This window comes from Homo sapiens, chromosome 17 (assembly GCF_000001405.40).
Source record: "Homo sapiens chromosome 17, GRCh38.p14 Primary Assembly".
Lineage (NCBI taxonomy): Eukaryota > Metazoa > Chordata > Mammalia > Primates > Hominidae > Homo > Homo sapiens.
The window spans coordinates 83,010,950-83,034,572 of record NC_000017.11 but is presented as its reverse complement, the minus strand read 5'-3'; the positions used below and the strand labels follow the sequence as shown (position 1 = coordinate 83,034,572).

The 23,623-nt window shown below is 52.0% G+C and overlaps 1 protein-coding gene across 15 annotated transcripts in view, besides 1 other annotated feature; it reads left to right on the top strand.

Moving 5' to 3' along the window:
- Positions 1–23,623, top strand: part of QTGAL (queuosine-tRNA galactosyltransferase) — a 109,622-nt gene that overhangs the window by 17,198 nt on the left and 68,801 nt on the right. For 12 of the 15 annotated variants that reach the window (XR_007065267.1, XR_002957964.2, XR_002957963.2 and 9 more), the window contains one exon: positions 20,054–20,119. The exons of 1 other annotated variant lie outside the window; for it this stretch is intronic. Coding sequence is in view for 6 of the 14 variants with exons in the window: in XM_047435395.1 (XP_047291351.1) it covers positions 20,054–20,119 (66 nt within the window). In the remaining 8 variants the exon portion in view is untranslated. Of the gene's footprint in view, positions 1–3,670; positions 3,816–20,053; positions 20,120–22,244; positions 23,146–23,623 lie in introns of those variants that run through there. 2 more of the 15 variants (XM_047435398.1, XM_006722274.3) reach the window with 2 other exon arrangements.
- Positions 16,061–17,013: an enhancer, noted in NCBI's record as "H3K4me1 hESC enhancer chr17:80975436-80976388 (GRCh37/hg19 assembly coordinates)". NCBI's record gives its function as "activates a minimal SCP1, AML or CMV promoter by ChIP-STARR-seq in naive H9 embryonic stem cells {active_cell/tissue: H9 hESC(naive)}" and the evidence as "EXISTENCE:reporter gene assay evidence [ECO:0000049][PMID:30033119]".

Here is a 23,623-nt window from a genome sequence, read left to right as displayed (position 1 = left end):
AGTTATTAATTCAAGATGAGATTTGGGTGGGGACACAGCCCAACCTTATCAGTTATTAATTCAAGATGAGATTTGGGTGGGGACACAGCCCAACCTTATCAAATAGTTATTAGACAACCTTAAAAATTAAGGTCAATAGGTTGTTGCTGTTTAATTGCTGTAGCACTTAATGAGTTAATCATGGTAAGTAAGATATATAAAAATGTAAAATTGCACAGCAGAGAGCGATGTGAGCAAAATGAAGATAAACTGGGATGAAATCGGAAAATATGGTACTTAAAAGATGAATAACCTTACTGATTTCTAAAGGTTGATAAGAAAACACTAAGAAAAGGCTGGGCGCGGTGGCTCACGCCTGTAATCCCAGCACTTTGGGAGGCCGAGGCAGATGGATCACCTGAGGTCAGGAGTTTGAAACCAGCCCGGCCAACATGGCAAAACCCTGTCTCTACTAAAAATACGAAATTAGCCAGGCGTGGTGGTGTGCGCCTGTAATCCCAGCTACTTGGGAGACTGAGGCAGGAGAATCGCTTGAACCCAGGAGGCGGAGGTTGCAGTGAGCCAAGATTGCGCCATTGCACTCCAGCCTGGGAGACAGAGTGAGACTCTGTCTCAAAAAACAAACAAACAAAACACTAAGAAAAATAGATAAGTAGGCAGAGGACAGAAGCAGACTCTCAGAGTGGATGTACAAACAACTAATAAACTTTCTAAGAATTTAAGTCATTTGTATTCAAACACAGATTAGTGAGATTCTTTTAAAAACTGAACTAATAACACTTTTAAAAATGTAGATAACTTAGGCCGGGCGCGGTGGCTCACGCCTGTAATCCCAGCACTTTGGGAGGCCGAGGCGGGTGGATCACGAGGTCAGGAGATTGAGACCATCCTGGCTAACACGGTGAAACCCCGTCTCTACTAAAAATACAAAAAATTAGCTGGGCGTGGTGGTGGGCGCCTGTAGTCCCAGCTACTCGGGAGGCTGAGGCAGGGGAATGGCGTGAACCCGGGAGGCGGAGCTTGCAGTGAGCCGAGATCACGCCACTGCACTCCAGCCTGGGCGACAGAGCGGGACTCTGTCTCAAAAAAAAAAAAAAGCATATAACTTAGTATTTTGGACAGTCTAAGTTGATGCCATCTTGACAGTGTAACTTTGCATTTTCTATCAAGAGCCTGAAGAGTGTCCTTCACTCCTCAGCTTCCTTCTTGGCATCTCTGAGAACGATTTGGATACAAAGAAGCTTCAGGTTGTTGACTGTGATGGAAAACAGAAACGTTAACATGGGACGGGAGGGTCACGGTGGAGAAGTTTCCGGCAGGTCTCCATGGGGGAGTCACTGTGATGTTTATAAAGACTTTTCAATAGCAGGACAAATGACTGAATAACAGGTAGTCGCTTGTATAGTCTACACTCAACTATAGATATTTAAAAATTACTTTAAAATAAACTTCAGGAACATTTATCTGTATCTGTCCCTCCTCTGTGGCCAGGTTCCGGGGCTTCTGTGCATTCCTGGGGTGCCGCTCAGCGTCTCCAGGCCGCTCTGGCCCAGAGCTCCTGCCTACGCGGGGATTTACGCGGGAGCCGCCCGTTCCTCTCCTCCTGACCCAGCTCTTTTCCTTGATCACCAGAAGCCTCTGCACATGCTCCTGGTACATGTGGAAGTTTGGGAGAGGCGTGCCCGTGTGCAGACGGGGTAAAACTGCATATTTATCGGCCCAGCTCGGGAAGGCGGAACCCCCAGGGCGGCACCAGCTGCTATGACTCCTGTCCTGGTGCCTGGGTCTCTTTCTTCTCTTTTCTTCTTAGACCAAAACACCTCAGATTTCTCCCGTTTTCTTACACAGAACCTTCAGCCCTCTCTCCTGACCCTTCCTTGGGCTCATGTTTTCATGCTCAGATGGTCCATCCAATGTTTTCCTCACTAAGACAGCATCCACCAAGGACAGCTCAACCCACCACATGGAAAATGGTGCTTTTTATTGTCTTTGGGTGACAGGATTAGGGTGTGCTGGGCCCCTGAGCTCAGTCTGGGTCGGAGGCCTGGCCTGGTCTGACCTGGTTGTTCAGCTCCCGAGTTCGGTCTGCGTCGGAGGCCTGGCCTGGTCTGACCTGGTTGTTCAGCTCCCGAGTTCGGTCTGCGTCGGAGGCCTGGCCTGGTCTGACCTGGTTGTTCAGCTCCCGAGCTCGGTCTGGGTCGGAGGCCTGGCCTGGTCTGACCCGTTGTTCAGCTCCCGAGTTCGGTCTGCGTCAGAGGCCTGGCCTGGTCTGACCCGTTGTTCAGCTCCCGAGCTCGGTCTGGGTCGGAGGCCTGGCCTGGTCTGACCCGTTGTTCAGCTCCCAAGCTCGGTCTGGGTCGGAGGCCTGGCCTGGTCTGACCCGTTGTTCAGCTCCCGAGTTCGGTCTGCGTCGGAGGCCTGGCCTGGTCTGACCCGTTGTTCAGCTCCCGAGCTCGGTCTGGGTCGGAGGCCTGGCCTGGTCTGACCTGGTTGTTCAGCTCCCGAGTTCGGTCTGCGTCGGAGGCCTGGCCTGGTCTGACCCGGTTGTTCAGCTTCTGTGCCTGGCTTAGGAGCAGGTCTGCAGATGTTGTGAGGCTGGGCCTGTGGGCACCTTCCCGGGTGCTGGCTGCTCTGTGGAGTTGATGAGGACGAGAGTGAACATCCTCGAAGGACGTTGGGGTTTTGCCCAGCTGACCAGTGTGAACGTCACCTGAAACTCACTCTGGATCCAGTATGTGCAGAGGGCGTTACAGTCGAACAGATTCGGTTCCTGACCTCTAGCGTTGGCAACTGAGGACGGTTTAAACAGATCTTCACCTTTTGCTCATGAAGCATCTCCATCCTCCCTGGGACCCACCCCACACCTGCTGCAGTCAGAGTGGAGCCTCCCTGCACACCGTTCTCGTCACGTGACACCTGCCTAGACGGCTTGTCCTCGAGCCTATTAGGTGGCCTCAGGTGTCCTTGGAAAGGCTGTGGAAGGCCTCCCCCGTGACTGTCCCATGGCCAGGTTCCTAAGGGGCAGAGGGGTGAGTCCTCGCAGAGCCCTGTCTAAACGTGGCGCCAGTCCTGCGAGGGACCCGTGGGTGCTCGGGCAGCCGTCGCTGAGTTTACACCCTTCCCCGCTGGAAAACGTGACTCTGGTCCTGCGAGGGACCCGTGGGTGCTCTGGCGGCCGTCGCTGAGTTTACACCCTTCCCCGCTGGAAAACGTGACTCTGGTCCTGCGAGGGACCCGTGGGTGCTCTGGCGGCCGTTGCTGAGTTTACACCCTTCCCCGCTGGAAAACGTGACTCTGGTCCTGCGAGGGACCCGTGGGTGCTCTGGCGGCCGTCGCTGAGTTTACACCCTTCCCTGCCGGCCTCTGATGGATCAGTGCCTGACGCGGCGTTTCCTCCTGGCACACACTGCTGTGTTCTCGTCTCGGTTGTCTGTGTTCTTGGAAACTTTAGTAGAATAAAACAAAGTAAACAAGAAGCCTGGCTTTTAAAGAAAATAGCCTCTAAATAGCTCATTCATTATAATGATTTGGGTTCCAGTCCTCTTAGAGATGTTCAAACATAATGTCTATGAAAACATCTGCAGAGCGGCTTCACCCAGGAGGTCTGGTGGTTGTGAGAGCGCTGCTTACTTCTGAGCCGACCAGGTTTTCTTTTCCCTTCGCCCTTCAGGGTTCCCAGGGTGGAGAGCCTCTGCCACCCTCCTGTCCCCCGACTCCCGTCTTCACTGGGGAACCGGCCGCATGGCTGTCCACGTGCACAGGAAGCCACATGGCCTTCCCGGAACCGCCCCGAGGCCTCTGAACTGGGGCCTCAGGTGAGAGGAGAGGGGCCCATGTGGCTGGGATGAGAAGGGCCAAGGCGGGGCGGGCGCTGCAGACGGGGACGGCCCAAAGGCTCTGCATCCATTCGGCCGGCTCTACAGCATTGTCGAGTCATCGCCGGGGCTGTGGGGAGGGTTACAGACAAGCCTGGCCGTTCTCATCCTCACTGCCGATCCTTGAACCGAGGGGACAGGGATGTGGCTGTAGCCGTGCCCCAGACCCCGAGCAGCAGTGCCGTCTAGAACCCTCACAAGCCGGCAGGTGCTCTGAGCACAGCCTGCAACGCCCAAGGCCTGTCCCGTGTCAGAGGCTGTTCTCCTTTCCACCTCTACAGCTGCCCTTTGCCTCCTTCTCCGCTAATCCCTTTATTTCTTTACTTTCCCACCTGTGGTTTTGCTTCTGCTTTATTCGCGCTCATTCTGCAGTTGTGTTCCTAACCCTTGAGCTGGGCCCTCCTCTCCAGGCTTTTGTTTCTAACATAAGATTTTCCTCTCATGGAGAACTTAGTACTGTAGGGGTGTCCGTAAGGTTTGAATATAAAACCCTAGTTATTATTCAGTTGTGTTTCCTAACTTCCACTATGATTTCTTTTTCTTCTTTTTAAATTTAGATCTTAGGATCTCAGGAGCCCAGAATCAAATTAATCACGACCCTTGGTTCAGGACACATTCTCCTCATTTGTTCACGCGTGGCCCGTTTTACTTGTCTCTGTGATTATAACTGTACCTGTTTTCGTGGGTAGCGACTAACTGAGGCCAGTGGTGCAGGTGGTAAAGGAATTTACCAAGACAGTTGTAGGTCAAGAAAGGCAGATTTATTCGAGAAAGCAGGAAGATAGGTTGCAAGAAAGCAACGGGCGCGTCAGCAAGAGAGAAGCTGACTGGCAGGAGACAGAGCCTTGCCGGGGGTTTTAAAGGTGGTGCTTGCGCTGGAGAGGGCCACGAGCGGTGCTGGTAACGCCAGGGTTGCAGGGAGCTAAGTTGCATTTTCCTCTCAGCCGAGGATCTGGTGATACGTTGGGTGGAGGAGGATTGTGAGTTAGGTGAGTTATTCGTGCAGACGCGCTGTGTCCTGAACCATGAGGAAAGGCAGACATAGCCAATCTGCGAATTCTTTTTGCTTCCCCGGCTCCCCCCAGCCTGACTTCTCTTCCCTAATTAGGACTCCACACCTGTATTTTTTGTTTTCATCGTGTGACAAACACCCATGGACCTGCCACCTGACACAAGAGCCAGCTCGGTCTTCTCACGTCTCACAGGTGACCACGATGCTTATCCCCTGCCTCCTTCCGCCTGGGTAACCGTCAGCCCAAATTCCGCGCTCATCATCCCTTGCTGTCCTTTTAAAATAACTATCTGGTATCTATACAAATCTGAAAAAAAAAATTTAACTTCAGTTCTTTTTAACTTTATAAAGTGGGTACCACTGTAGTATTCTGGAACTTTTAAACCTTATAATTGTTAAGGTCCATCCGCGTTGTTGCATCTCATTATAGTTTATTCAGGTTTGGAGAATTGAGGTAGAATTTACATGCAGTGAAGTGCAGGATTTCCGTGTGAAATTTGTGTACAACATGGATAATGTGTGTTTTGACAGCTCACACGCCTGTGTAACTCACACCCCAGTCAAGGTGCAGAGACTTCTGTCCCTCGGAACGGCCTGCATGCTCCCGGCTCCGGTCCCCACGGCAGCCACTGCCCTGACTTGGAGCCCCAGGGCTTCTGTTGCCAGCTCTTGAATTTCATGCGTACGTGAAACCGCACGCCGTGCCCTCGTGTTTCTCTTTCCACTCAGCCGGATGGTCATGCGTTACAGCTTGTGTATTGGTGGCTGTGTATTGGTGGCTCCTTACTGTTTGCTCATCCTTCTGTGACTGCACCGAGATTGTTTCGATGCTGTAGTTTCCAGTTCGGGTTACTAGAATAAAGACGCCATTAACATTCTTGTCTGTCTTTCTGTGGATGTACCTTGGGAAGTACCTAGGGGTGGAATTGGCACATCAGAGGGAAAGGTGTTTTTACCTTAAAGGAACCTGCTGAACAGTTTTCCGGCGTTCGTACTGTTCTGCCTTCCCGTCAGCAGAGTGTGGGCTCTGCGGCGTTGATGCTGTCGGCCTTAATTTTCATGATTCTAGTAGCTCTGATGTGTGTCTCACTGTGGTTTGACATTTTCCTGATGGCTGGTGATGGTGAGCACCTTTTCTTTTTTTTTCTTTTTTTTTTTTTTTTGAGATGGAGTCTCGCTGTCGCCCAGGCTGGAGTGCAGTGGCGCAATCTCGGCTCACTGCAGGCTCCGCCCCCTGGGGTTCACGCCATTCTCCTGCCTCAGCCTCCCGAGTAGCTGGGACTACAGGCGCCCGCCACCTCGCCCGGCTAATTTTTTGTATTTTTAGTAGAGACGGGGTTTCACCGTGTTAGCCAGGATGGTCTCGATCTCCTGACCTCGTGATCCGCCCGCCTCGGCCTCCCAAAGTGCTGGGATTACAGGTGTGAGCCACCGCGCCCGGCCTGGTGAGCACCTTTTCGTGGGTTTATTGGCCATTCATAAATCTTCTTTCATGAAATGCCCATATCTCACCTCTTACCTTTTATCCCCGGCTGCCATGGGACCAGAGCCGGGAGCGTGCAGGTCGTTCTGAGGGAGATGAAGTTTTACTCTGTCGCTCAGGCTGGAGTGCAGTGGTGCGATCTTGGCTCACTGCAACCACCGCCTCCCAGGTTCAAGCAATCCTGCCTCAGCCTCCTGAGTAGCTGGGACTACAGGTGCATACCACCACACCTGGCTAATTTTTTGTATTTTAGTAGAGATGGGGTTTCCCCATGTTGCCAAGGCTGGTCTTGAACTCCTGAGCTCAGGTGGTCTGCTCGCCTCGACCTCCCAGAGTGCTAGGATTACAGGCGTGAGCCACCACACCTGGCCTGTTTATCTTACTATTAATGAGTTACAGAGTTTTGTGACATATTCTAGATACAAGTCCTTTGTCAGGTATATAGATTGTGGATATTTTTTCCCTGTAAGTGGCTTGCTTTTTTTTTTTTTTTTTTTTTTTTTGAGAGCGTCTCACTTTGTCACCCAGGCTGGAGTGTGGTGGCCCAATCTCGACTCACTGTAGCCTCAGCCTCCCAGGCACAAGCAATCCTCCTGTCTCAGCCTCTCAAAGCATGGAGATTACAGGCATGATCCACCGTGCCCGGCCCCTCTTCATATTTTAATGGTGTCTTGAGCAGAAGATGTTAACATCAGTGAAGTCCAACTTATTTACTGTTTTCTAGTTAAATTTTTTCCTAATAAACTTTTGCTCACCCCGAAGGAGAAGTTGTGTTTTTCTGGTAGCTTCTAGTTTTGACTGTCCTATCGACGTCTCTTGTCCATCTCTAGTTAATTTCCGTATGTGGCATGAAGTAAATATCAAGGTTAGTTTTTTTCATGTGAATATTCAGTCCCAGCACCATTTATTGAAGAGCTTTCTTTTCTCCATGGAATTGTGCTGATGCCTTTGTTGAAAATCACTTGGCGGTGTGAGGGTAGCTTTGTCTGCAGGCTCCCTGCCCTGCTCTGTGTCTGTCAAGGGTGGGTTTGTCTGCAGGCTCCCTGCCCCCCTCCGTGTGTCTGTCCAGGGTGGGTTTGCCTGCAGGCTCCCCGCCCTGCTCTGTGTGTCTGTCGAGGGTGGGTTTGCCTGCAGGCTCCCCGCCCTGCTCTGCGTGTCTGTCGAGGGTGGGTTTGTCTGCAGGCTCCCTGCCCCGCTCTGTGTGTCTGTCGAGGGTGGGTTTGTCTGCAGGCTCCCTGCCCCGCTCTGTGTGTCTGTCGAGGGTGGGTTTGTCTGCAGGCTCCCTGCCCTCCTCTGTGTGTCTGTCGAGGGTGGGTTTGTCTGCAGGCTTCCTGCCCCGCTCTGTGTGTCTGTCGAGGGTGGGTTTGTCTGCAGGCTCCCCGCCCTGCTCTGTGTGTCTGTCGAGGGTGGGTTTGTCTGCAGGCTCCCCGCCCTCCTCTGTGTGTCTGTCGAGGGTGGGTTTGTCTGCAGGCTTCCTGCCCTCCTCTGCGTGTCTGTCGAGGGTGGGTTTGTCTGCAGGCTCCCCGCCCTGCTCTGTGTGTCTGTCGAGGGTGGGTTTGTCTGCAGGCTTCCTGCCCTCCTCTGTGTATCGGTCGATGGTGGGTTTGTCTGCAGGCTCCCTGCCCTGCTCTGTGTATCTGTGAAGGGTGGGTTTGTCTGTGGGCTCCCCACTCCGCTCTGTGTGTCTGTTGAGGGTGGGTTTGTCTGCAGGCTCCCTGCCCCGCTCTGTGTATCTGTCCTCTGCGGTTTGTTTGGTTTCTCTGCTGTACAGCATTCTGCTGAGCAAACCTGCCGTGTACATCCGTCTTTCCTCCTGTGGACAGGCTTTTGGGCTGCCACCAGGTTTTTGCTTTGAGGAATGGTGCTGCTGTGGCCTGTCCACACACCTCTGGCTGTGCATGTGGGTTCCTCTTAGCTTTGTACCTGGAAGTGGAATTGCCAGCTCCCAGGGCACGGAAGAGTGATGCCTGCGAACACCCACGCTCTCGCTGGTTCTCCAGCACTTAGAATTCCGGGGGGTTCACTTTTGCTGGCTGAGCAGGAGCAAAGGGGGCCTCTCTGTGCCTGGATTTGCACTTCCTGGTCACGGGTTATGGTGAGCGTCGTCTTCTGTTCTTGGCCATGTGGGTTTTCTTTTCTGTGAAAAGTGTTTACATCTTTTTGCTCATTTCTCTTTCCCCTTTGAAACCATCAGAACTCACAGAAAGTTTCAAGGATACTGCAAAGAACTTTTTGTTCTCCCTGAGCCATTGGCTTAGGCCACCAGCATCGTGCATGTCACCCCGAGTACGTGTGTGTACGTCCTGCAAAGAACATTCTCCTGCAGCCCACGGCCTCCCGTCACGACAGGGATGTACTCACCCGGACACGACTGGCACCCGGTGCCGGGCCAGGCTGTCCCAGTGGTGCCGTCGGAGAAACCCCTGCTCAGAATCGCGCTGCATTTAGTTACTGTGTCTCTGTGATCTCCTCCACCTGGAATACCCTCAGCCCCGCCTTGACTCTGCTCTTCTTACGTGTGTGTGGACTCTCCGCGGTGTCCGTGTGTGGACTCTCCGCGGTGTCCGTGTGTGGACTCTCCGCGGTGTCCGTGTGTGTGTGGACTTCACAGTTTCTATGTGTGTGTGGACTCTCCGCGGTGTCCGTGTGTGGACTCCGCGGTGTCCGTGTGTGTGTGGACTTCACAGTTTCTATGTGTGTGTGGACTCTCCGCGGTGTCCGTGTGTGGACTCCGCGGTGTCCGTGTGTGTGTGGACTTCACAGTTTCTATGTGTGTGTGGACTCTCCGCGGTGTCCGTGTGTGGACTCCGCGGTGTCCGTGTGTGTGTGGACTTCACAGTTTCTATGTGTGTGTGGACTCTCCGCGGTGTCCGTGTGTGGACTCCGCGGTGTCCGTGTGTGTGTGGACTTCACAGTTTCTATGTGTGTGTGGACTCTCCGCGGTGTCCGTGTGTGGACTCCGCGGTGTCCGTGTGTGTGTGGACTTCACAGTTTCTATGTGTGTGTGGACTCTCCGCGGTGTCCGTGTGTGGACTCCGCGGTGTCTGTGTGTGTGTGGACTTCACAGTTTCTATGTGTGTGTGGACTCCATGGTTTCTGTTTTATTTGAGTTATCATTAGTTACTGTCACTTACTGTGATGTTCACACTGTCTGTGATTTGGCCAGCGAGGGACCTTTCAGACTGGCTTCCATGCCCTTTGACTAGGTCCCACGACCTTGGGGGACGTCTTGCTCCTGAAACGAGGACTGCGGTCTTGCAGCTGCCGGCTGCTTTGATCCTGGCCAGCAGTAGCCGTTTGCTGCCCTCTGTGCCGGCCGATGTGTCTGGCAGGAGTTGGAGCGCTTTGCACCCCTGAGCAGCACGGCCCAGGCCCCGTGGCCACAGCGTTCTGGTCACTCCTCAGCATCACAGCGTCTGCCTGTCCGGCTGCAGAAGGTGACCAGGGCATGCCGATGTTGCGGGCATCATGACCCTCAGGCCCCTTACCCAGGCCTGACCCACACCAGGAACCCGCAGCTTCCGCAGTCTCAGCCCCGGGGGCGTGTTAACACGCGTGGATTCACCCCTGGGCCAGAGTCCTCTTCTCCTGGTGGGGTTGGGGCCCTGCACAGTTGCCAGCTTTTCCCTCCGCACAGAGAGCCCGGTCTCTACACAGGACACAGATGTTTATCCCTCAACAGCTGAGGCCCCACACGCAACCCACCTCACTTGGAGACTGGAGGCGGATGAGCGAGGGCTCTGCTGGCCACGTCCGCGCCTGTCTTGTGCGTGGTCTCGCGAACTCCGTCTGAACCGCCGTGTGGTCTTGGAGGTGACTTGATTTCCGGTTCAAGAAACTATTCAGGAAACCGTGGAGCAGCACCTCTAGGAGGGAGTCGATGCTGAATTCAGAAGCAGGGCCTGCCCGCCTGGAGGACCCCGGGCGGAGGCTGCCGCTGAGCTGGCCAGGAGCTGTGGCCGGGACCACCTGAGGCCTGCGCTGGGGGCTCTTCTGCAGACGACCAGGAGGGCTGCTCTGCTGCCTGAGTACATCAGGGACTCTGCCTCCAGGAGTGGACGCCTGGAACCTCTTGTGCGTTCACCCCTGTTTAGCCTTTAGGTCCAACAGGAAATGTGGGGACACAGGACCTCGTATCAGGCGAGTCCTCCCCACACTGTACCCTCTGGCATCTCCGGTGTTAGAGACACACGGTCCGGTGTTTGCTCTGGCGAGGTAGAAGGAACCAGCGCAGAATCCACAGGGGAGGAAGCACTTTTAAATTGCTAATTTGCAGAAAATCGAGAAAGGCAACTTCAACCTCCTTTGTGATGACACATTTTGTCCCACCGTGTCCCACTGCTAGTGAGTGTTACAGAAGCATCGGCCCATCTAACCCATGAAGGTTGGGTTTCCACTTTCCCTTCCAGCTCTTCCCTGCAGCTGCTGGAGGTCGGGAGACGTGGGGGTGGAAGGAAGGAGATCTGGCGCCTCCCCAGCATGCGTTTAACAGAAAGGGGACACGAGGCCACGTGCTTTGTCTTGGGTGGTTTTGAGACCAAAGCGTTTCACCACAGAGCATGGTGGTGACCAAGAGATTCCTGAATCATGCTATTTTCCCTTTATTTAGAATGGTACACTGGTCAGTAACTGATTAAATGCAGGTGTTGCTAGCTGAGTGAGGAAGTGTGTTTTTCCTCATCTCTTTATCACGTGCCACCTGACTTCTATATTTGACTTGTCGGCTTTAGCCTGGAATTATTTAGAAAAGAATGTTGGTATCAGCTGTATAGAATCTGCTGCAACTTTAGAAAACAGCGGAGAGCAGCCAATGTGAGTTCATGCTGGTGCAGGTGGGCCGGGGACAGTGCTAAGCTCATGTGAGTTCACGCTGGTGCAGGTGGGGCGGGGACAGTGCTAAGCTCATGTGAGTTCACGCTGGTGCAGGTGGGGCGGGGACAGTGCTAAGCTAACGTGAGTTCACGCTGGTGCAGGTGGGCCGGGGACAGTGCTAAGCTCATGTGAGTTCACGCTGGTGCAGGTGGGGCGGGGACAGTGCTAAGCTCATGTGAGTTCACGCTGGTGCAGGTGGGCCGGGGACAGTGCTAAGCTAACGTGAGTTCACGCTGGTGCAGGTGGGCCGGGGACAGTGCTAAGCTAATGTGAGTTCACGCTGGTGCAGGTGGGCCGGGGACAGTGCTAAGCTCATGTGAGTTCACGCTGGTGCAGGTGGGCCGGGGACAGTGCTAAGCTAACGTGAGTTCACGCTGGTGCAGGTGGGCCGGGGACAGTGCTAAGCTCATGTGAGTTCACGCTGGTGCAGGTGGGGCGGGGACAGTGCTAAGCTAACGTGAGTTCACGCTGGTGCAGGTGGGCCGGGGACAGTGCTAAGCTCATGTGAGTTCACGCTGGTGCAGGTGGGCCGGGGACAGTCCTAAGCTCATGTGAGTTCACGCTGGTGCAGGTGGGCCGGGGACAGTCCTAAGCTCATGTGAGTTCACGCTGGTGCAGGTGGGCCGGGGACAGTGCTAAGCTAACGTGAGTTCACGCTGGTGCAGGTGGGCCGGGGACAGTGCTAAGCTCATGTGAGTTCACGCTGGTGCAGGTGGGCCGGGGACAGTGCTAAGCTCATGTGAGTTCACGCTGGTGCAGGTGGGCCGGGGACAGTGCTAAGCTCATGTGAGTTCACGCTGGTGCAGGTGGGCCGGGGACAGTGCTAAGCTCATGTGAGTTCACGCTGGTGCAGGTGGGCCGGGGACAGTGCTAAGCTAATGTGAGTTCACGCTGGTGCAGGTGGGGCGGGGACAGTGCTAAGCTCATGTGAGTTCACGCTGGTGCAGGTGGGCCGGGGACAGTGCTAAGCTAACGTGAGTTCACGCTGGTGCAGGTGGGCCGGGGACAGTGCTAAGCTCATGTGAGTTCACGCTGGTGCAGGTGGGGCGGGGACAGTGCTAAGCTCATGTGAGTTCACACTGGTGTACGTGGGGCCATGTCTTTTGATGAACAGAAGTTTTAAATTTTGATAATGACCATTTTATCACTTAAAGAAAAATAAGATTTGTGCTTTTTGTGTCCCGTCTAAGAACCTAAGAAACCTTTGTCTGCCCCAAAGTTTTCTTCATTTTCTTTTGGATGTCTTCTATTTTTATCTTTTACATTGAGACCTCTGGTTCATTTCAGGTTCATTTTTGAAGATGGTGTATATGGGGGCTGAGGATTCTTTTTCCTGGATGATGTCCGGTTTTTCCAGCATTCCTGTTCTTTCTCTGTGGAATTATCTTGGCACCTTTGTTGAAAATCAGTGGATCCAAAAAAGCGTGGATCTATTTGATCTATTTCTGTGCTCTGTTCTGTTCCACTGATCTTTATATTTCTCTTTATACCAGTTCCACTCTGTCTTGATTACTATTACATGATTATTCTAGCAGCTGCAGTAATAAAGCTACAGTGTAGCTTTATAGTAAGTCTCAAAATCTGGGATTGTAAGTCTTCCAGCTTTGTTCTTACCGCTCTCAAAATGGTTGTGTTGGTTTTTTTCGTTTTTTCTTTTAGGTCCTTTGAATTCTGCAAAATTTTAGAATGAACTGGTCAAGCCTGCTGATTTTTATTGGGATTACATTGAATCTATAAATCCACTTGAGGATCTTAGTATTGAGTCTTCTAATCCGTAAACATAGTATATCTCTCCATGTGTTTATGCCTTCTTAAATTTCTCTCTGGAATATTTTGTAGTTTTTAGGGTATGGGTCTTCAACATTTAATAAAATATATCTCTTAAGTATTTTTGGGTTTCAGTGCTATTGAAAAGTGGTATTAACAATTCATTTCCAAGTTTTATTGCTGCAAATATGCTACATTAGCTTATTCTAGTAGAGTTTTTTTTTTGCATATTCTTTACAATTTACTATGAAATGATTATGTCACCTGTGAATAAGGAGCCTTTTACCCCTCTCCAATGTCTATTCCAATCTTACTTATTCCGCGTTCTTGGTTCAGTTCATTATACTGACTAGGACCTCCAGTACAGTGTTGAACAGAAGTGCTTCTAGCAACAACCTCGTGTTCAAAATTCTTGTTTGTTTCATCATTTTCATTATGAAGAAAAACACATACAGAGAAGAGCACAAAACACAGATGTCCATAAAGTATCATTAAAGTATCATAAAGCAAATATTCATGTAGGGCACAAATGTACGTACAGCTTCATAAGGCAAATACTCGTGTGGAACACAATGTATGACTCTATAAAGTATCATAAAGCAAATATTCCTGTGGCCACCATAGAAAATGTAACCACCTCGGAAGCCCCTTTCATGCCCCTTCGCAATGATCTCTCTCTCTGTCTTCCCCAAATTAAATGCAGTTGGTTCTCGTGGGTCCCAGCAGAAAACTCGGGGTGTTCTCCAGTCCCCGTCCTCACAGATCCCTGAACCCCGTGTTTCCTTCCAGCCCTGGGAGTGGCAGGAGTGCCATGCGGCCGTGGCCTCTCCCCAACTGCGCTCAGAATCAGTAACTCTTTGAGACGCTGGTTTTAGAAATGACCGGATGGTCGGGATGGCCATCACCTCCCCTGGGGCTGACTTTGTCTCCCGATGGGCAGGTGGGCTGGTGGCCTGGTGAGCTGGGCCCCAAGGCCCCATCGTGTCCCCAGGGGCGTCCTGCTCACCTCTCTGGGCTTCTCCGCTCCAGACCTCGGTCTTTGGTCCTTGTGGCCTTTGTGGGTCTCCAGTGGCTTTCAACAGGCATTTTGTTTTGTTTTAGTATTTTTCTAGCTTTTCCAGCTATTCTATGGAAAATATTGTTCTGAAGCAACTTATTCGTCCGTTCCTGGAAGTGGACTCGGCTCCTGGGTTTTCTGGGACTTGCCTGGCCTGGGCTTTGTAATTGTGTGTGCAGGCATCCTTATCGGTCTCAGAAATTTCTTAGCCGTCATTTCTTCAAAGCTTGCTTGTTTCCAGTAAGCTTTTCTCTCTCTCTTTCTGGGACCCTCTTACACTTTATATCGCTTTGGTTTTTCTTCTTTTTTTCTCTCTGTTTTCCATCTTCTGGTCTTTTCATGCTGAATTCTGAATAATTTATTTTGATATATGTTCAAATTCACTATCTCTTTAGAAAATCTGTTTTGCTATTAAATTTGTCTGTGTTATGCTTAATTGGGATTTGTCTTTTAGTTCTAATAGTTCTATTCTTGGCCGGGTGCAGTGGCTCACACCTATAATCCCAGCACTTTGGGAGGCCAAGGCGGGTGGATCACCTAAGGTCAGGAGTTTGAGACCAGCCTGGCCAACGTGGTGAAACGCTGTCTCTACTAAAAATGTGAAAATTAGCCAGGTGTGGTGGTGGGCGCCTGTAATTCCAGCTACTCGGGAGGTTGAGGCAGGAGAATCGCTTGAACCTGGGAGAAGGAGGTTGCAGTGAGCCAAGATTGCGCCACTGCACTCCAGCCTGGGCAAGAAGAGCAAAACTCCAACTCAAAAAAAAAGAGAGAAAGTTCTATTGTTCAAGTTTGTCTTTTAGTTTTTGTGTGTGGTAAAATGTATATAACATAAAATTTACCATTTTAGCCATTTTTAATTCAGTGGCGTGAAGTACAGTCACATTGCTGTGCAGCCCCCGCCGCCTCCGCCTCCAGATCTTTCCCGTCTTCCCGAACTGAAGCTCTGTCCCCGTGAAACAGCCCATTGCCCGCCCCAGCCTCTGGCTGCCACCCGTCTCCGTCCAGTCCCCATGACTTTGGCTCTGCTAAGGGACCTCCTGTGACAATATTTGTCCTTTCATGACTTGCTCATGTCTTATATCTTTTAGTTTTTTAAATACAACTTGCATAGATTTTAAAAATATTTTGTGCGTGATAATTTGAATATATCAAGTCTTTTGTTTTCTGATATTTTGTCTGTTTTTACTTATAAGCCTGGCTGTCTTTGCGCACTGGCCATTTTATTTGAACCGTTCTCTGTGGAGTAATTTGACGCCCCAGGGTTCTCCTGCATCATAGACTCTGTCCTGCCTCCATTGTGGCCACATAGGCCAATTCCCCCTGGGTGGTCAGGATCAATCCCCGGGCCAGCACAGACAATCCCTTTCTGGACGTGGACTCAGAGGCATGAGGAGCCCAAGGGGCCGGGTGGGGTCTTAACTTCCATTCCGGCGGCGTCATCGTGCGTCTCCTGGTGGCAGTGTTCCTCCCCTGGGACCCAGACCTCTCGGCCTGTAGACCACAACGTCAGGGGGCAGGAAGCAGGAGCTCCCCTAGTACATCACCAGGAGTGACAGTGAGTGCCACTCCCATGTCCGCCCCTCGATTCCTGGCCCCGTGAGCCCTGGCTGGGGAGAAACAGCTCCATGTCCCAGAGGCTCATTTGGAGTCAGTGCGGCCTCTGGAGAGCCTCGCCCCAGCCCTGCCAGCGTCGCCGCTGAATGGGTGCCGTAACTGGACCTCCAAAGGCCATCCCACCTCTGTCCGACCCATGGCTTCGAGATGGTAGGGACATGAGAGGGAAGTTAATTCCAGGAGCCCGGCCCATTGCGACCTTTCTTTGGCTGTTAAGTGAGTTCCTTGGTCAGAAGCAATGTCCTGTGGAAAACCATGGTGTTGGATGAGGCGTTCTATCCAATTTTAACCCTGACATGTAATTGCTACGAGACTTTGGGTATTAAGAATTACATACCCTTTCCAAACCTCCGTTTTCTTGGCTACAAAATAGAGATAATATTAGCTATTCTCTCTCCAGCCATAGAAGAGTGTGATAAATATAAAAAAAAAGTGTATGTGTGTGTTTTATAAATGGTGAAGTGAATTAAAGATCTATTCATTTGTTTTACAAATATATTTTTGAAGTTTTTAGGGATCGTTGTACATGTTCACGGAGCACGTGTGGTACATGATACAGCCACACCATGTTCGCGGAGCATGTGTGGTACCTGATGCAGGCGCACCGTGTTTGTGGAGCACGTGTGGTATCTGATACAGGCACACCGTGTTTGTGGAGCACGTGTGGTACCTGATACAGGCACGCCGTGTTTGTGGAGCATGTGTGGTACCTGATACAGCCACACCATGTTCGCGGAGCATGTGTGGTACCTGATGCAGGTGCACCGTGTTTGTGGAGCACGTGTGGTACCTGATACAGGCGCACGGTGTTCACGGAGCACGTGTGGTACCTGATACAGGCGCACGGTGTTCACGGAGCACGTGTGGTACCTGATACAGGCGCACGGTGTTCACGGAGCACGTGTGGTACCTGATACAGGCGCACGGTGTTCACGGAGCACGTGTGGTACCTGATACAGGCGCACCGTGTTTGTGGAGCACGTGTGGTACCTGATGCAGGCACGTCGTGTTTGTGGAGCACGTGTGGTACCCGATACAGGCACACCGTGTTTGTGGAGCACATGTGGTACCTGATACAGGCGCACGGTGTTCATGGAGCACGTGCGGTACCTGATACAGGCGCACCATGTTCACGGAGCACATGTGGTACTCGATGCAGGCACACCGTGTGTCATGATCAAGCCAGGGTAACTGGACCATCCATCACATCAAACATTTATCATTTGTGTTGGGAACATTCCAGATCTTCTAGCTATTTCATTTTGTTTTTTGAGATGGAGTCTCTCTCTGTCGCCCAGGCTGGAGTGCAGTGGCGTGATCTCAGCTCACTGCAGCCTCCACCTCCAGGTTCAAGTGATTCTCGTACCTCGGCTTCCTGAGTAGCTGGGACTACAGGCGTGCAGCACCATACTCGGTGAATTTTTTTTTTTTTAGTAGAGCCAGAGTTTCACCATCTTGGCCAGTCTAGTTTCGAACTCCTGACCTCAAGTTATCCGCCTGCCTTGGCCTCCCAAAGTGCTGGGATTACAGGCATGAGCTACTGCGCCTGGCCATAAAAGTCTTCTAGCTATTTTGAAATATACAATAACTTATTGTTAACTATAGTCACCCTATTGTGCTATCGAACACTAGAACTACTCCTTTTACCTGACTGTAGTTTTGTGCCCTTTAACCAACCCCCCTTCCTCCTCCCGCCACTGCCCTTCCTGGCCTCTGCTGAGCGCCATCCTTCTACCTCCACGAGATCATCTCCTCAGCTCCCACACATGGGTGGCAACACCAGCGTTTGTCTTTCTGTGTCTGGATATTTCACTTAATGACCTCCATGTCTTACAAATATTTTTGAGGGCCAACTCCATAGAAGAACTGGCCTGGCCCTGGTTCTAGAAGGTGCAAGAGACTTTCCCACAGGACATTTAGCCTGGGCTTGGGGCATCGGGGATTAGGTGTCTAGACCAGGGGTCGGAAGGTTTGAGGGTCCCGTGTTTGAAGGTTAGTGACGTGCCCCTTAGGTGGTGCCTGTGGTTCCTTTGAGCCTCCTCAGCTCTTCTTTTTGAAATACCTGTCAGGGTCATATGCAGGTTTTTAGCCCTCCTCCTCCTCCTTCCTCCCTCCTCCCTCCTTCCATCTCCCTTCTCCACCTTCATCCTCCTTCTTCCCTCCTCCCTTCTCCTCTCTCCTCCACCCTCCCTCCTCTATTCTCTCTCCCCAACCCCCACTTCCCTCCACCCTCCACCTGCCTCCTCCCTCCTTCTTCTGTCCCTCCTCCCTCCTCCCCCCTCCTCTTCAGTCCTCTCCCCTTCTCCCTCCTCCACTCTCCAACCTCCTGTTCTCTTCCCTACTCCCTCCTCCCTTCTCCACCCTCCTCTTCTGCCCTCTTCCCTCCTCCCTCCATCCCTTCTCACTCCTCCATTCTCCACCCTCCTTTATTCTCTTCTCTCTGCCCTCCTCCCACTTCCCCTCTGTCCCCAGCCTCCTCTCTTCAGCCCCACTAGGTTCCTCTCGGCTTCCCTCAGCATGGTTCGTTGGATGATCTGAATGTCCTAAGGCCGTTTTGCGGGAATAAGAGACATAAATATGGGTATTTTAGTTCATCTTAGCGTTCAACTTAAAAACAGATATCCTTCCAATGACATTATTCTTATTTCTGCTATTGAGTACATTTGTACCTTTTACTCATGTACTTAAACCTTTGCTGTTCTTCCACTTAATTTTTTTATCATGAGATAGAATACACCCACAGAAAAATGCACAAAACATAAATATCCATTAATTTACAAGTTAATTATGAAGCAAATATTTGTGTAGCTACCACTCGATCAATAAATGCTTATGGCCGGCACCTTAAAGGGACTGTCCCACCCATGCCCCCACCTCGACTTCCCCCCAAAAAGTGACCACTCTTCTGATCTTCAAGGTTATAATGTTGTTGCTTTTCTTTATGGTTTATATCCGTGGTCCCCAGCCTTTTTGGCACCAGGGACAGGTTTTGTGGAAGACAATGTTTTCACAGACCGATGGTGGGGGGGCGTGGTTTTGGGATGAAACAGTTCCACCTCAGGCCGTCAGCATTAGTTAGATGCTCATAAGGAGTCTGTGACCTGGATTCCTCGCGTGTGCAGTTCACAGTAGGGTTTGCGCTCCTGTGAGGGTCTAATGCAGCCGCTGCTCTGACAGGAGGGGCAGCTCAGGCCGTGACGCTCGCCCGGCCGCCGCTCACTCCTGCTGTGTGGCCTGGTCCATGGCGCGGCACCAGCCCGCTTCCCCGGGAATTGGGACCCTGGTACACACTGTGTGTGCATTTCTTAAATAATATGGTTTATTTGGCTTGGTTTTGAATTTAAATAAGGGGAAAATACCATGTATATTCTTGTGTCTTGCTTCTTTCACTGAACATTAGGCTTGTGAAATTTCTGTTGTGTTCAGCTGCTGAATGGCATTTGAAAATAACATGCACAATTCATGTATCTGCTATTCTCACTCACTGGGTTCTTTCCACATTTGAATGAGCTGCCGTGAGCATGTCTGTGTGTGTGAGTAGGGCTTTTCCTACCCAAGTAGTCAGACGTCAGGGTCTTAGGGAAGTGCATCTTCAGCTTTGCTGGAAGATGCCAGACGGTCCCCTCCACAGTGGTGGCAGGTCCTCACCGCAGACGGTCCCCTCCACAGTGGTGGCAGGTCCTCACCGCAGATGGTCCCCCTCCACAGTGGTGGCAGGTCCTCACCGCAGACGGTCCCCTCCACAGTGGTGGCAGGTCCTCACCGCAGACGGTCCCCCTCCACAGTGGTGGCAGGTCCTCACCGCAGACGGTCCCCTCCACAGTGGTGGCAGGTCCTCACCGCAGACGGTCCCCTCAACAGTGGTGGCAGGTCTTCACTGCAGACGGTCCCCCTCCACAGTGGTAACAGGTCCTCATCGCAGCCAGCAGTGCATGGGAGCTCTTGTTCTGCCTAATTAAGTACACTTGGAATTGTCAGCATTTTTTATTTTTCCTTCTCCGCTGCATAACTAATTGCATTTCTCTGATGGCTGACGAGGTTGTTGGTCCACTGGAAATCCTCTTGTCTGAATGGCCTGTTCAAGGCCCTTGCCTGTTTTGCTGTTGGATTGTCTATCGTTTTCTTACTTATTTGTAGGAATTGCTTTATGTGAGTTTAAAATATGTTCTTGGGGCTGAGCATGGTGGCTCAAGCCTGTAATCCCAACTCTTTGGGAGGCTGAGGCGAGAGGATCAGTTGAAGCCGGGAGTTTGAGGCTGCAGTGAGCTATGATTGTGCCGTTGCACTCCAGCCTGGGCAATAAAGCGGGACTGTATTAGTCTATGCATCAATCAATGCAAACAAACAAACGGAAAGTGTGTTCTTTACTGCAGGATGACGTCATGATGCCCCAGCGGGTGAGGCTGCAACACGAGGCTGCCGTTCAGCACCCGTCGAGCGTAAGTACTGGCCTCCTTAGTGTCGTTACTACCTTTAGTGAAATTACCACTGTGGTTTTTTAAATAAAGAGTTTTCCTAGGGGTGGAAAGAATCAGGCTATGGTGAGACTGTCAAGTCACGGAGAGGGATCTGTGGCTGGCATGTCTCTGAGCCCTGGAGGGTGTTTTCCTTTGGAGAAAAACATGCCCCTGATTTTTCTCCTGTTATTTTCGTAGGGTGCAAAGGTGGTTGTGTTGTTTGTTTTTAATCAGCGTTTTAGAAGCTGAGCGCCTTAGACATGAAAACACAGGCTGAGAGCTATACCGTGTTCACAGTTAAACGTTTTTCTTATTTAGACGATCTTAAATTACGGTTTTTATCTTTAGAACGGCTTCTCAGTTGCCCCTCCAAAGCCAGGCTTCCTGGGGCCCCTCCTCAGCCCAGCAGTGCCCCGTGGGCTCCTCCGCCCAGTGGGGAGGAAGCACAGCAGTGCCCCGTGGGCTCCTCCATCCCCCACCGCAGATGGTGGGGACACATGGCCCAGGGATCCCTGGAGCTGGTGTCTCAGCCACCGCGAGGCTCCTGCTGGCTTCAGGGAAGGTGACTGTGTCCTCAGAGATCTCGCTCAAGTTTTAGAAGACTTTGAATCACAGCGGTGATCACTTGGGTTTTAACACTGAGGGATCCATAACTGTCCAGCGCCCACAGTGTCCGTCCCCCGGGCAGTTTGGCGCTCACCCTGGACAGGCCCCTCTGCCCTCCCCCCGCGGGGCTGTGCGTCGTGGGCACGTGTGCGGTTGGGTCACCACACGGTTCAGTCACGGCCGGCTCTGGTCACATCCTGGTCAGGTCACAGACGGGCCTGGTCACGGCAGGGTCTGGCCCACACGGCGCTGGGAGCCCAGCTCCCCACAGAGTGGGTGCTCGTGACAGTTCACCCTGTGGGGGGTCGGGCAGGGGGGCAAGGGCAGGACGGGTGTGCTGGGGGCGTCTGAAGGGGAGGGCCTGGGTGTTGGAACCAGAGGGGGTTGGGAGGGGGGAAAGGGTGTGGGGGTTTGGGGGGGCAGCATTGAGGGGGAGGGGGGTTGGGATGGGGGCAGGGCTGGTGCGCTGGGGGTGGGCGGTGCTGGGGGTGCAGCCGGCTGCACGGAGGTTTGCGTCTCACGTGAGGCAGGAGACAGACTGAGACACAGGCCACCTTCTCGGGTGCAGAGGGCCCCACACGGTTGCCTCCTTTGGGGGTGTGTCAGGTCCTGGGGCTCAGTGGCCCCAGCGTGGCTGCAGGGCCTTCTGTGGGGGCACATTTTCTGTGAGGGCAGGAGAGAGCTCTGTGGCTTGTAGCAGATTCTTAAAAGGGTCACGTGTTTGCAAAGTTTAGGAACCGCAAATATGTCTGAATGTTTCTCCGTAGCAACCACAAATACGTGTGAGAGTGTGACAGCATATCCATGGCAATCGGGGCCACAGGCTCCGGAAGTCAGTTTCTGGAAGTTTACAGGCATGGACTGCCTGGGAGAGACGTCCGAGAGTGTCTGCTTGTCGGGTGGGACGGGGGGCCCGGGGATCTAGGGATTAGGGGTGATTTCTACCCCAGCCACAGGTGCTGTGGGGTTTCAGTCATGTGGAAACAGAGAGTGATCACAGACGGTTTTTCCAGTCCAGTTCCTTTGTGGGGAATAGGGGGAAAATGGGGGAAAATGTCCTTCGGGATGGACTTCTGTGGACAGTTTATGTGAGGAAAGTGCAGAGTCTGGGGTTTCCAGGAGGGCCTTTTGCAGAGGTGTGAGATATCGCACATGGAGGCTGGAGAGGAAAGGGGCGTCCCTGCCACGTTAGCTGCCCAACGGCTCCCTTTGCGTCCCTGCAGCTGTGTGGTCCTGTGGACTGGAAGGTGGAGCAGACCCTGTGCCGGCCCGTGAGCTGGAAACCGTGGCTGGACTGAGCCGTCCGTATGTGAGGTGCCACAGCGATTTTTACACAGCTAGAAATGACAGTTGCCAGCTATTTAGAATCAATCATACAGACGTCTAAGGAATTTTGTTAGGAGTGTTGACATTTTAGTGGAGGAGATACTTTCAGATGTTTTCATTTCCATACTGAAAAACAAGCCCAGATTGGCTTCATTAATGGAGTTGCCTTTGGCAGTTCTTCGTGGCATGTGTTCAAACGAGCTGGGAGACTTATGGATACGAGGAGTTCGTGGCGTGTGTTCAAACGAGCTGGGAGACTTATGGATACGAGGAGTTCGTGGCGTGTGTTCAAACGAGCTGGGAGACTTATGGATACGAGGAGTTCGTGGCGTGTGTTCAAACGAGCTGGGAGACTTATGGATACGAGGAGTTCGTGGCGTGTGTTCAAACGAGCTGGGAGACTTATGGATACGAGGAGTTCGTGGCGTGTGTTCAAACGAGCTGGGAGACTTATGGATACGAGGAGTTCGTGGCGTGTGTTCAAACGAGCTGGGAGACTTATGGATACGAGGAGTTCGTGGCGTGTGTTCAAACGAGCTGGGATACTTATGGATACGAGGAGTTCGTGGCGTGTGTTCAAACGAGCTGGGATACTTACGGATACCAGGAGTTCGTGGCGTGTGTTCAAACGAGCTGGGATTCCCCACAGGAATGTGGGGAAAATGCACATGGTCAGTTTGTCTTAATTGTAATAAGACAAGCTTAATTTCCATTTTCATCGATGATTTTAAACCTTTTTCTTGCTACTCTTCTCACTGCCTTCGCTGATGCTCTGTTGTGCACTTGGGAGAGAAGCTTCTGCTCCAGGTGCCTCCTCTTTTCCCAATGGCGCGGTTAGGTGGAGCGTCCACCCCGTTTCTCCACGTCGAAGCTCTTCTGGAGGAAGCTTAGGGATGTCATCACAGTTTTGTTTCACTAAAACAAAGTCAGCTTTAGAAAGGCTGTTATTGCGTGGCTGGATTTTTTAGAAATCATGACCTACAAAAATCTTAATTTGCAGTTGCTGGTTCGTGGTTACGTGAATTACATTGTGTAGTTTGTCCTGAGAGAATGAAATAAACGCTGAGATACTTGTACTTGGTCGTTGTTTTCTTAAGATCTTTTACAAGAAACCAGCTAATTAGGAAGGACCTTTGATGGCGGCTTTCATAAATCGTGCATTTGCATGTAGATAAATCACTGCAGAACTTTAGGAATCCTGCATGTAGAGCATCGTTATCCAAGGTTAGCAAGAACAGGGAACCCGCATTGCGCCCTGTAACTTGCCCCCGTTCCTGAGGGCCAGCCAACCCCCGTCCTTCCTCCTCCTCTCGCCCCGGCTGACCCTTGGATTCCTGACACTGTGCACCCTGTGGTTTCCCACCTCTGTGCCTGGGCTCAGGAGACATCGGAGAGGAAAGCCTGCATTCTTGGTCACCTCTAGACCACCCCAGACCAAACACGAAGGCTGCCCTGGCTCCACCCAGCTCCTTTCCAGAGCTGATCTCTGTTCCCAACGTTCAAGACCAGTCCTCGGGGTACAGCCCCGTGAGGGCAGGTGCTCCACCTTAGGGT